Source organism: Homo sapiens, chromosome 11, assembly GCF_000001405.40.
Source record: "Homo sapiens chromosome 11, GRCh38.p14 Primary Assembly".
In the NCBI taxonomy this organism is placed as follows: Eukaryota; Metazoa; Chordata; class Mammalia; order Primates; family Hominidae; genus Homo; species Homo sapiens.
Genome location: NC_000011.10, coordinates 128,759,400 through 128,773,063, shown reverse-complemented (window position 1 = coordinate 128,773,063; position 13,664 = coordinate 128,759,400). Strand labels below are relative to the sequence as shown.

The 13,664-nt window shown below is 49.2% G+C and overlaps 1 protein-coding gene across 9 annotated transcripts in view; it reads right to left on the bottom strand.

Moving 5' to 3' along the window:
- FLI1 (Fli-1 proto-oncogene, ETS transcription factor) overlaps positions 1-13,664 on the bottom strand; it is a 128,136-nt gene that overhangs the window by 40,204 nt on the left and 74,268 nt on the right. For 7 of the 9 annotated variants that reach the window (NM_001440370.1, NM_001440371.1, NM_001440369.1 and 4 more), the window contains 2 exons: positions 4,792-4,946; positions 79-282 (listed from right to left, as the gene is read on the bottom strand). The exons of 1 other annotated variant lie outside the window; for it this stretch is intronic. In NM_001440370.1, the coding sequence (NP_001427299.1) occupies positions 79-282; positions 4,792-4,946 (359 nt within the window). Of the gene's footprint in view, positions 1-78; positions 283-4,791; positions 4,947-8,242; positions 8,414-13,664 lie in introns of all 9 variants that reach the window. One more of the 9 variants, NM_001271010.2, reaches the window with a different exon arrangement.

Below are 13,664 nucleotides of genomic sequence, written 5' to 3'. Positions count from 1 at the left end.
GGCAGCACTGACTTCCTCTCCCTGGGTTGGCTCCATGCCAAGCTTCCTCCCAGCCCTGGGTACTTGGGCGGCACTTACTTTCCCTGAGGTAACTGAGGTGTGACAACAGCACTTCCGTGTTGTAGAGGGTGGTGGCGCGGAGGAAGTCCTCCTTGTTCATTTTACACAGTTCCTTGCCATCCATGTTCTGGAAAAAGGATGTGTCGATCTCCATCAAGCTGTACTCCTTTATGGCCCACTCCAGCCATTGCCTCACATGCTCCTGTGTCCACAGTGTGGGGTCTGCAGAGGAGAAGACGTTGTTAGCAAGGACTGCAGGAAGGTAGAGGCTCCCTGAGAGCCTAGGCAGCCTCCCTCACCCCTTGTCCCTCTTTCTTTCCCTTCTCTTTCTCTCTGGGAGAGCTCCCTTCCACATGGTTCCCCTAGAACACTCATCAGGCTCCATGGCATCTGGCGCTGCCTGAACCACTTAGCACTCCAGGGAGGTGCTTAGCTGCCTCACTACGTATCCTGACAGAGCACTCTTTAAAGTTTTGGAGAGCAGTTGGAACCTTTGCCTGAGAAATGGTGGCATCAAAATGAAAATAAACACAATTTCACAGACCCCGGGACCAATGTCTCTGGAAACGGGAACCATCTGTATTTTAAGAATATTAATGATTTCATGAAAGAACACGGATCCCTCAGATGGCTGTAGAAAAGAAACAGAGAGACTTTTACTGCAATTCCATCTGTGCAGTTGAAAAACCCAGCGGTGTTAGTCTTGAACAGAAACCCAAACTAGATTTTTCTCCTTTTGAGCACAGCTGTGTAGAAATTTCTACCAGGGCATCCCCAAAACATATTTTAGATATTTAAATACCCAAAGATGAGAGATGACGTTGGGGAGAACATTTTAGCTCTTGAGTGAACACAGGTAAGGTAACCACTGAGGCCATCTCTATGGTAGGACACTCATACCTCCTCCTCCTTCTCAGTGTGTGTATGTGTGTGTGTGTGTGTGTGTGTGTGTGTGTGTGTGTGTGTGTGTGTGTGGTGGGGATGTTGCACTTTCAGCACAAGTGATGAGTTCCAGCAGGTTCCACAGTAGGCAGAACTCTTTTATCACTCATCACAGTCTGAAGCCCATCTCTTCACTTGGCAACCAATGGTTAGTGGGTCCAATAAACACCTTAAATATCCTTATCATAGAAGAAAATTACATGACGCTTGCCTTCAAGAAATACTCATTCCCATGAAACAGGTAGGCAAGCACACCACTACTAAGCAATGGACTGTGTGGCGGTGGTTCGAGGACTCATAAGTGGAAGGGAATAGTGAAAATTTGGAGAGTCAAGGAAGACTTCCTGGGGGAGGAGAGACTCGGCATTTTATTGTAAGTCGGCCATTAGCCTCCGGCTTCTAATGAGCCTGTTTGATTTAACATATTTATTAGGCAGGAATATCTGTGCTACCCCTCAAGCAACTCACCCTCTCATTCTACAGCGTCTGTGAAGGCTCCTGGCAAAGCAGGGAACCAGGATTGAATGACTAGGAGTGGATGTGGGGCAAGAAGCAAGGCTCACGCTTCACAGCTGGGCAGCCAGAGGCAAGTTTCCCAGCACTTTTACACAAGCATCCACCAACTGTCCTTGGACTCTCCATTCCACCTTGGTTTTTATGTGTGAGAATCTGGGTGGCAGGGCCCGAGTAGTCTGCTTTGTAAAGTGCCCAGGCCCTGCCCATGCACGAGAGTGGCTGCTGTGTTGTGCTGAAGGTGGAGGAGCTGGCAAAGGGGAGGAGTTAGGAGAGTTTGGGTTCACAGGTCACAGCCTGCTGCTGAATGTCATTCCAACAACCTAATGCCCTGTGAGCAGTGACGGCTCAGATGGTGGGTGCTATGTGCCACCTGCTCCGCGAGCCCTATTTTTACTTACCAAGGAAATCTTTTAATATCCCCATTTTACAGATGCAAAATGGAGTCTTAAAAGGTTAAGTCCTTTGCCCAAAGCCCCATCGCTGGTAAGTATCTGGGCTGGGGTTCCAATAGAAACCATTATAGGACTTCACTAAGCTGAAGAGGTGGGTTCCCCCAAAGCCCCTTTCCTCTTCTCACCATCCTGCTTTACCTCACCTGTGAGTTACACTGCTCTGAAGCCAGAAAGCGGAGCTCCTCTAAAGTGTCATTGTACAAGTATGTCTTCCTCTCTCTCTCTCAGATACATTTCTTGCTCTTTTACTCTCCAGAAGCAATTAGGCATGGATCATTGGCAAATGGAAATAATTTTGCACCTTTTCAGAATTCTAGAGAAACATATCCTCGGGAGAGTTGGATTATGTAGCATATTATTTCATTCTTCACTTCTCCCAGTTCCTCACTTTTAGTATCCAAGGCCTCAAATTCAATTTTACACCATATATTTTATTTATTTTATTATTTCCTCCCTTGCTTTGGGCTCTGCAACAATATTATTACTCTCCCTCTACAGCACAATGAATTATAAATCTTCAACTCTGGATCATGCTAAACTCTTCCAAATGCATTTCCTGGATGATTTAGTCCTAGTTTCTTCCCATCTGAACATGGAGCTAGTGATTAACTAGGGCCCACATTTATACTTGTCTTTAAATCCCATCATAAATTCAATCGGTTATTCCACTAATATTTTATTGCCTTGATTTGTGGACTTGCCCAAATGAGACTTCCCCTCATATCCACAGCCTGGCCTGGAGGAAGCCAAAATGTGTGAGGACCTAAAAGATCTAGCCGGAGCTAAAATAATGAAGTAAATCCATAGCCTGAAAGTGCTTTGAAAATCATTTGACATGAATTTGTTTTATTTTCACCACCAGCGCTATAGGTAACTTGGCTCAGCCAAGCCTGATGTTTTGCTATTCCTTTTGAAAGCATTTCAACACTGATCAAAGAAAGTTTGGAGGGTCGACATAGCAGTCTGGCCACTTCTGCCCATTTCCAAGATTCCTTCCCCAAAATGACGACCAAAATGAGATGGTGCCAAAGGTTGGTTCAAAGACAATCTCAGATCCCCAAACCCTTCAGTCCAGCAAGCTTTCCCTCCCAGGCTGGGAGCTGTTTGACTGAAGCAGGGGAGTTTGAAACCATTTGAGTGAAGACCCAGTGAGGCTCAGCTTTGCTTTGGGCTGTACAAAGAGATTCCCACCTGTCAGTTCTAATACAGTTTCATTGTCTGCTTTCAGTGAGGAGGGAGACGATACACCTGGGCTAAACATTACTAGCTGGTCTCCTGTGACAGGTGTTTTAAGTAATGCCATGGAGATAAAGCAATTTACGTGGTGCCTGGCACCTAGAAAGCACTCAATAAATGGAAGTGATTCTTCCTCTTCCTTTGTTAGGTCAGATGCTTGTGGAAGAGCAAACTTAGAATTGCTTTAGGAGTCATTTCTAAGTCCTAAAGGGTACAGAGAAATTTCTACAAGCCCCACCCGTCTGCTGCCTCACTCTTGCTCACACCTTCTTGAATTTGGCCCAGAGCACAGGGAGGCAGCTGTAATCCAGGGATATGGTGAGATGCAGCTTCCCAGGGAAAACAAACACCACGGGCCAAGGCAGGAGGCAGCCCTTAACATTTCTGCCTTTAGACCTACAAGCAGATGCCTTCGGACTACCTCAAAGAGATGTCTAACCTTTTGACTTCAGAGGCAACTACATTTATGCTTTTACAAATGGAAGGAGTTTTGCCTCTCTGGTAAAGTTATTTTGGTAAGATCAGGTTTAATCCCTGCCCTGTAATCACTTTGCTTAAGATTTGGACATCCTTGCCCCTTCTACCTGGCACCAGTTCTACACGTGGCAGTTTGTAAACACCCTTCTTGTGCAGGCAGCTGAGCTTGCTGGTGCTAGCTGGGGTGGAGTGTCCAGCCAATGGACTGAAGGACTGAACGATGATTTTATTTTCTGGGACCAACAGCACCAACACCTAGGAAAAAGAGGCTATTTTTACCTAATGACATAACTTGTGGCACACATGTTAAGGCACTCCATTAGTTAAATATAGTTCTTTCTATTTTAAAACTGAAAGAGCTGGCTGTAATTTTGGAAAGGTGGAACCTGGTAGATGCCGGGAAGTACGAGCCTGGAGGGAAGGACTGGCCTCTGCAGCTGACCTCCTCCTCACAGGCAGGGATGCCCACATCCAGAGCTCACGGGATTCCTTTTGGGTGGAGGCGGCCTTGCCTCTGCTCTCTGAGCAGCCCGTCCTTGAGGACCAGGCCATTGATGTAGAGTCTGTGATGTGGTCTGTTTAAGGGTGGGGCTTCTAGCACCCACACATCAGGTGACATCTGGGATACTGCCTTAAAGGGCAGCTAGGAAGTCAGGTAAAATGTGCAGCTTTTTTTTTTTTTTTTTTTTTTTGAGACAGAGTCTCATTCCATCACCCAGGCTGGAGTGCAGTGGTGTGATCTTGGCTCCCTGCAACCTCCGCCTTCCCGGTTAAAGCGAGTCTCCTGCTTCAGCCCCCTGAGTAGCTGGGAATATAAGCGTCCACTACCACACCTGGCTAATTTTTGTATTTTTTTTTTTTTTTAGTAGAGATGAGGTTTCACCACGTTGGCTAGGCTGGTCTTGAACTCCTGACAAGTGATTCACCCGTCTTGGCCTCTCAAAGTGCTGGGATTACAGGCGCGAGCCACCACTCCCGGCTGGCGTGCAGCTTTCTCCATTTTGCAATTCCACAGGGAATAGAGTATCAGATAAAGGTTTAGATGCTCCCTGCCCCCCCAGAGAGTGGGGAAGTGAATGGCGCCCAGGCAGCCTGGTTCTCGAATTACCTGCGGGGACGATGACTCTCCTCTCGTTGGTGGTCATGTTGGGAGGAGGGGGGCCATTCTTCTCGTCCATATAGCTGTTGTAGTTCATGGGGTTGGACTCGCCTCCGCCCACCAGCTTGCTGCATTTGCTAACGCTGCAGTCCACCGGAGACTCCCTAAAGTGAGAAGAGACAAAGCCCAGAGGCGGTCAGCACTGACAGGGCAGCTTGCCTCAGCCTCTGAATCATGAGCCCAGGGCTCCGATGATGAGCATGGAGCCATTGCCCGGCCACACTTGGTGTCATGATGATGATGATGCCCTCTTTCTATCCTCCATGCTGCCACCAGAGTTTTCTTCAAATCCCAGCCCAATCCTATAATTACAGTACGTAAAAACTGCTGGCAGCGCCTCAGTGCCCTCAGACCAAGGTCTGAGCTTCTTTGTGTGGCATCGCAGCCCTCCCTGTCTGACTGCAGCTTACATTTTTAGCCTCACTGCCAGGCAACCTAGTCCATGCTCCCAGACACGCCTTCCCCACAGTCCCCCAGCACTTGGTGCCCGCCTTGGTTATAAGGACTTGTCACACTGTCTGATTCTCAGCTTGGCCTGCGCCCCCTGACTGCTGAGTTCTTGAGAGGATAGTCATCACTTTCTTTGTTTAACCCTAGTATTCTTACAGGAGGTGAGCAGCAAATGCTTTCTCAGTGAGTTATTTCTATTGCACATATATAAGTTTAATGCATTTCTTATGCACTGTTGTATTCGAATTTCCCAATAAGCCCCCAGGATAGGCACAGCAAGGGTTACTATCTCCTTTTCATGGTTAATGAAATCGAGACAGGGGCTGCCTGGCTCAGTCACACAGCTAGTCAAGGTGGAAACAGGACTCAGGTCTTCTGTGTTAAGCTTCACTATCAAGCACACATGCAAAAGAGCTGGTTGCTACTTGGAGAAGGAATGGAGTCCAGGAACTTCCACCTGATGGAGAGGTGGTGGCCCTGTGGCATTTTGCATCCCTGGCCCCAAGCTCACTGTGGAAGCAGTATGGACATTCACAAGAGAGAAAGCAGATCATCCAACTTAGCCTAGAACTACAGAACTTGATCAGCACCTGGTATTTTGCAGCACTGGTGATGGGCAGCTGTCTGGAGGGGTGAAGTCCCACCCATGGCCACCTGGCGCCCTGAAGCTGGCTGGCAAACACACTCTGCATGCCCTCCAGCCCAGCATCACGCACCTCCAGCATACTTGGGGGAGGTGCCACCCTGTCACACCCAGTGCCCGCTGCTCAGCCACTCCAGCAGCAGCAGGACCAAAGGAGACGATGGGAAGGCCAAGGAGAAGCTGTAGCCGCCATTATACTGAGCAGGAAGCATCGGTTCTGGCAGCCTGGGAGACAGCCAGTTCTCTCAAGAGCTCCAAACCAGGCCTTCAGACCAAGGAGTTCAGATAAGGTTCAGATTACAGCCTTCCAACTCTAGGCCGCATAACCTCTCCGGACGTTCCAAAGGCCTGGCCACTGTCCTCCATCCCCTGCCAGGCGCAGGAACGGACCACAGCGAGGCCTTGAGGAGCAGGGCCGTACCAGATAGGGACCCACCCATCCCACAAGCAGGGACGGCAGTCACTAACCCAGGAGAAGGGAGATCAGCCCAGGGCTTCCTGAGACCCAGGCAGGGCGGGGAGGCCTGAGCACATTCAATAAAGAAAATTAAATGAATTTGTTTCTTAATCTGAAAGGAAAAAAATATTGAAGATCACTTATCATAGCTGGGAGATAAATGCTCCACTGAGATATTAGAAGTCAGACGGTAATTTTTTCCTGATGTCTTACAGAGGGAAACATGGGCTGAAAATGAAAATAAGATGTATAACTCACACATGTTAGAATTTAAGGTTTTACTATTCGCCTACTGTTTTTCCAGGCAGAGAACCAAAAACCAGCCGTCAGAGTCCCAGATTGCTGAAGGTTTAACGTCCCCATGGCAGGGGAGGGGAGGGGAGGCAGTAGCACATCAGGACTTTTCACCAGCGTTTGGCCCTTTGGCTTCTGCTGCGGAAGGACCTGGCCTGAGATGAAGCAGTCCCAGTCAGACCCTGGTGCCTGCATCTGAGCTGAGCTCTGGCCCGAGTGCACTGGGTCCCCTCACCCGCCCTGGGGCTAACTGCAGGCACACACTCACACACATGCATGCACATGTGCACACACACTCCAACACAGAACACATGTGCACAATACTTTACCCACATGCATGCACATACTTCAACAGAGAACACGTGCACACATATGCTTACTCCCATGCATGGACACACTTCAACACACATGCACAGACATGCACTGTACACATTCCAACATGGAACACACATACTTCACCCACATGGAAGCACACATTTCAACACAGAGAACATGCACACACATGCACGTACACTTCATCTGCACACACATTCAACACATGCACACACATGCAAACACAGTGCACACACACGCATACACATTACACACACGCGTGCATACACACACACTCACGCACATGGTCTGGCAGCCTTTCCCTGCATCCTTGTCAGTTGTGAAACAGTCCAAGTGCTGCAGAAGTTTGAAGGATTAAGTTGGCCTGCAACCAAGTGAGCAAGGTTTTCATTGGCAGGCGGCCTCTGTGGGAGAGGTGGGCTCCACACTGCACGCTCTTCCCTTGGAGGACCCCCAGAGCAAGAGGGCATAGGGTATGGGCAGGGGTCTCTCGGAAAGGAGAACTACAGCAGGGGGCAGGATGGTGGGACAGGAGGGCACACTCCCCGGGCTCCTCCCGTTTGTGGACGGTGGGGATACGATATTTGGAAAAATTCTTTTCCACATCAGCCGGGCCCCTGGGGATTTCTGAGTTAAAAACTGACCTCTTGCTGTGCAGAGAAGTCAGCACCTCAGGACTCACTGAAATGGAGTGAGCCTTTATGGTTATGGCCATGTACGGTAGGCACAGGTGGCAGGGCTGGTCCCAGGTGCCAGGGTTGGAGGAAAATAAATGTGAAAAGCTGAAAGAAACATTTCCCCAAACCTGCCTAACACGTGACCTTGTAAGGAGAGGAGCCATGGGCACCTAGACGAAGGGAAAGTGGACGCAGAGGAGGAGGGGGCTCTCTTGCTGGGGTGGCCGCTGCCACTCATTCCCTGAGCAGAACCTCCTCATTCACTGACCCATAGAAGTTCTCCCAGTTCCGCTTCCCTCCTCCTCTCTCCCTCCCCCGGCCCTGTGCACACACCTGCTCTCCAGCTGGACAGGTGATCGGTTTGGCCGCTCGCCCGCCAGGGTGTTTCTCCTCTGGAAAATGGCCCTGTCCTCGGTCCCAGGCTTCTGCACTAGGACCTGCAGGCGGGTGTCCTTAGGGAGAAGGGCTGGCACCATCCTGGTTCCCCACACTTGCCCAGCTGGCCCTCCTCCCACTGCTCAGGGAGAGAAAGAAGGAAAGCCATACCTCGCCCGCTCGCCTGCCAGTCCTCCCTCCATTCTTGCAGCTCCCAAGCACCGTGCCTCCTCCAGCCAGCGCAAGCCCTGCGTGCGGCCATGGGGCTCCACGGCTGCCGCTCAGGGTGGGTACAGGTGAAGCCCAGCATAAAAGGCTGCTCTTTAATGAGGCAGCTGGCGCCTGTGAAGAAGGCTTGATGAAAACAAGAGGGAGGGGGAGTGCGGGACGAGGTTTTGCCATTCAGCTTGCCTGCACTGCTGCTAATTTGTATTAAGACCTGCACTTACAGCTAGCATGGGGCTGGGGCCCACTGGCAGCTGATAGCACTGGGACAGGTGACAAGAGAGCCTGGGGCTGCCACAATAGAGCAGGGAGGTGGCGGTGGCCCCAAGGGTGTAATAACTCAGCACATCTCCATCTCAGGGCGACAGAGGCCACAGCAGAGCTGCCGAGGGTAGGGTAGCCCTTGTCCTTCATTTCCACCACTGGACATAGCTCTTGACTCCTCGAGTTCTGTTTGTGTGTGTTCTGTGAACATTGCTACTGGTTTCCAAAAAAAGCTTTGCAATGTGTTAGGCCATTTAAAACAAGGTGTAAGATCTTGGGTGTTTGGATGAAGGGAGATTTCAAAGACTTCTCCTGAAGATTACCTCTTTAGGCTGTACAAAGATCTTCTCTACCTTCCTAGTCAACTCAGAGCAACTGAACTTGGGTATATCATCAGACCCGCACATCTGAGCCCAGGCTCACTGTCAAAGGATACCTGATGTTCACGTGGCCAAAGTGAGGCCTCGCGGGCTGCCTAAGTCACATGGCTGCATTAGGACCCGCGGCGTGTAACTCCTGCGTAGTATGCACCCTGTGCAAAAATTAAACAATCTGTATTGCCTTTAGGAAGTCTGTAGGACATAGATGTGACTTTTTTGTTTTTGAAAAGGAGATGCAATAACTTAAAAGCAAATTCCAAGAAAAGAAAAAGCATCACTTATGATAAAGCCACCGCCCTAATCCACTAGCTGTTTTCATCCCCATACACAGTAGATGCTGCTAACTTTTCCAGGATCCTGTGTATCCTCCCCACCCAGGTTATGTGTGACATGTCTCATACTGCAAGGTTGAGAACACAAGAGTTTAGAAAGGGGCCTCGCAGCCAGAGAGGCACAAGTTCCAGGGAACAGGAGCTGATCCTTCTCTGTGTGGAATGTGAGTCCCTAGGTGTCCAGGGCATCCAGACCCTGGGGGCCAGGCCAGGGAATTTCAAGGAAGGTTAGCTCTGAACTCTGGTCCTGAATACCAGGCTCACAAGGCAAGTCTTGCATTTCCCTCTATAACCTGATATTCTTTTCTTCATGGGATGTTTTCCCCTATCCCTGTGGTTGAGACAGGATGCAGCTGAGAGTTATTTGCAGACCACAGTTTGGATCAAGTTGCTGAAGTCTACATGCGACACAGAACCTATGGGCCATGCTGTTTCAAGGCAACCCAGCCTAACAGAGTCAACCACAACAGGAAGATATGAAGAAAGAGAGCACAAAACTCCCTCAACATGGGCAAGCCACTCTGTCTCTGAGATCCTCAGACCTCAGTCTCTGCACTTGACCCTTTGCTCCTGGGCCAGAGGGTTTGCTACTGGGGTGAAAAGCAAGTGGGCATGGTAGCTTCAGGTGCACCGCACACCTCCTTCCCACCAGAGACACAAATGCCAATGGGTCTCCAGTGAGCATGAAGACATAACTCAGAAGCCCATGCTGTCAAGGAATGCAGAAAAAATGCACTGTGAATCACAGAACAGTCCAGACCACCATGGCCCAGCACTGTCCAATAGAAGTAGAATGGGAACCACATGTGCGAACTACATAATTTTTTTTTTTTTTGAGATGGTGTTTCACTTTTGTTGCCCAGACCGGAGTCCAGTGGCATGATCTCGGCTCACAGCAACCTCCGTCTCCCAGATTCAAGCAATTCTCCTGCCTCAGCCTCCTGAGTAGGTGGGATTACAGGCATGCGCCACCATGCCAGGCTAATTTTGTATTTTCAGCAGAGACAGGGTTTCACCATGTTGGCCAGGCTGGTCTCGAACTCCCGACCTCAGGTGATCCGCCGCCTTGGCCTCCCAAAGTGCTGGGATTACAGGCATGAGCCACCACACCTGGCCGAGCTACATAATTTTAAATTTACTAGTAGCCAGATTTTTAAAAGAAAACAAAACGATGAAATGAATTTTAATAATATATTAAAGTATATTAATATGTTAACTCAATATAGCCAAAAGAAGATCATTTCAGCATAATAAATAATCAATGAGATATTTTACACTTTTTCCATAGTAAGTCTTCTAAATCCAGTATGTGGTTTATATTTAGAGCACATTTCAATTTTCAACTAACCGTATTTCAAGTGCTCAGTAGCAACCTGTGGCTAGTGGCTGCTGCATTGAACAGCACAGGTCTAGCCCATGAGCCAAGCAATCTCAAATTTTATACCCTGCCTTGGTTTTCTCATCTGAAGTTCAGAATCATTATAACATCCTCTCCTATCTTTTTGTGTTATGGCGAATTAGACCACTGCAAACAATCAAATCATGTGCAAGTAACGAACTGTCATTATCAATAATACTCAGAGGATAGGAGAAGCACAGTGTTCAGGATGAGAGATTTAAAGAGCCTGGCATTTATTTCATTCTGTCATTGCTTTTGGCATAATTAAATGATAGGGTCTGACATGGTTCCACTGTAAGCAATGACATTTTTCTAAAACTCCTTGCTTCCTGCTAGCCACTAGTCCAGCTTACATGTGAGCCCTTAGGGAATATTTGTGGGGTGCTGGCGATAGCTGTGCCTAAGCTGCTTGGCTCTGAGAGTCCACAGGATTGTCTCTGCTTGCCCAGGGTGGGTGAGAAGATATCAGTCTTTCTGAACCTACTTTGTTACCCGCTGATGGTATGGGTCAAGACAAGCAACTCAAAAGCAGAGGTTGCTGCTCTGTGTAGCCAAAGCCAGGTAAATATCCTGTCTGTTCACTGGAATATTCACACAGGCCCTCTCCAGCTGGCTTTTGGTGTGACTGGAGCCAGGTATGAGCTGGCAAGTGGGTTCTGAAAAATCAATTTCCTTGGGGGACCCTCTTTGCACAGGATCAGTATCCTGAAGTGCTTGAGGATTCTCTGAGAGCAGGGGAGGGAGTGGTGAGCAGCATACTTCCTTCCCACCAGAGACACAAATACCCATGGGTCTCCATTGAGCATGAAGATGGAACTCAGAAGCCCATGCATCAACTCAGGCTCAGCATTGAAGGGGCTGAGTCAGCAGACCTGGATCTGCGTCCTAACTTTAAACAAGCACCTTCTCTTTTGAGTCTGCTCAGCCATGTGTTCTCAGTTATTTATTTGACGACAATTTATTGAGCACCTACCGTTTCAGGCCCTGCCCACGTGTCAGTGAGGGAGGTGATAAGAACTAGGACAGACACTCTAAGCAGGGTAAAGAGTGAGGAGGCGCTGGTTTCGATCAGGTGGCCAGGGGAGGCCTCTGAAAAGGTGAGGTTCAGGTAGAGAAACCCAAAACTCGTGAGGGAGAGAGTCATATGACTAGATGGAGTAGGAATGTTCCAGAATGAAGGAGCTCAGGGGAAGAGATTCTGAGGCACGAGGGTGCCTGGGGGTCTAGGAGCAGCAGCTAGAGTCTTATGAGGCTGGCGCGGAGGGAAGAAGTGGGAGGGAGGGGGCAGTAGAGAGGATGTCAGAGGGATGGTGGGGCCACACTAAGGGCTTTGCATTTTGTCATAAGCCATTGAAGAGTTTTGAGCAAGAGGATTACAAACGAGGAAAGCATGGCTCTGGCTGCTTGCTGTCCGGAGAATAGACTTCAGGAAGGCAGGAGGAAGTGGGGAGAGCAGGATGCCCCCGCAGAAGCCTAGGAGAGGTGCTGCTGGCTTGCACCAGGCAGGGGCAGTGGAGGTAAGGAGTAGGCAGATTCAGGTTACAACAGGCCAGAGAATCTCCAACAAAGCTGGGTGCGGTGGCTCACGCCTGTAATCCCAGCACTTTGGGAGGCCGAGGCAGGCGGATCATGAGGTCAGGAGTTGAAGACCAGCCGGGCCAACATAGTAAAACCCCGTCTCTACTAAAAATACAAAAACTTGCCAGGTGTGGTGCCATGTGCTTGTAATCCCAGATACTCAGGAGGCTGAGGCAAGAGAATTGCTTGAACCTGGGAGGCAGAGGTTGTAGTGAGCCAAGACTGTACCACTGCACTCCAGCCTGGGCAACAGAGTGAGACTCCATCTCAAAAAAAAAAAAAAAAAAAAAAAAAGGAATCTCCACCAGTGGGATCTGGATCTTCAACAAGCATTGGGAGCTCCTTGGAGAAGGGCCCCATTTAGGAGGCATCGTAGAATAGGCCTCCTCACCAGGTGGGCGTTGGCAGGAATGAGGTGGTGGTGCAAAAGCATGACACACAAGCAGAGGGAGCAGAAAGGTGCCTAACAGATGGCACGTGGGGCTGGAACCAAACGCCTGGGTTCGGGCTCCAACTTTGCCTCCTTTAAATCCTTAGACAAAGCACTGTCCCCTGAAAGCCCTGCTTGCCTTCCTGTGTAACAGTGAAGTTACAGTAACTACTTCTTAGTATAGTGGTGAGGAACAAGTGGTAAGATAATATGGGAAAACGTTCAACACACCATGTCCTTCGACTGTTAGGAGCTCCGGCACCATCAGAATTACATCTGGAGAGAGATTCATCTGAGGGGCTGCAGGCTCAGAACCTCTGAGCCTTCCTGAAATCCTGGGATCTGGAAAGGTGGCTGAGATCCCAGTCACTGGTTTTGGTTAGTAGGGTTGAAATGTGGTAGGCCTGGCAGTTCCCACAGGCAGGTCTGAGGCCATGAGCTGCTCTGGAGGAGTTCTCCCTCCCAACCATGCTCATTCCCTTCTCTCTCTTCAATCTAGACTAGTTTCCTCGGTGACCTCATCCACTTTCACAGTTCAGACTCCTTAGAGATGATGCCCAAACGTAAATTCCAGGCCTGAAAGATTATCTGAGCTTCAGTTCCCAAAGCCTAGTAGACGTTTTTATCTGGATGTTCTACCCATTGCTCACAAGGAATCTCAAAGAGAACACTGACATCCCATCCTAAAGCATTTCCTGTGCCACCTTTCTGCGGCTGCTCACAGCACCAGCCTTTAAAATGTGCAGGCTTTAGTCGCCTTTGATTCTTTCCTGTCATGCACCCCCTTCATTCACACTTTACTCACCTAAGCCCTGTTAATCATCTCTTTGCTATCGCCCTTATGTATCTGTCCTTTTCACTTTCCAAAATCACTATCATCACTTAGTTCCGAACTTCATTATTTCCTATCTGGGATATTTTACTAACTTCTTCACTTGTCTTTCTGACTCTCCCATCCTACCGTCTGTGCGCAAGGACTGTCAGC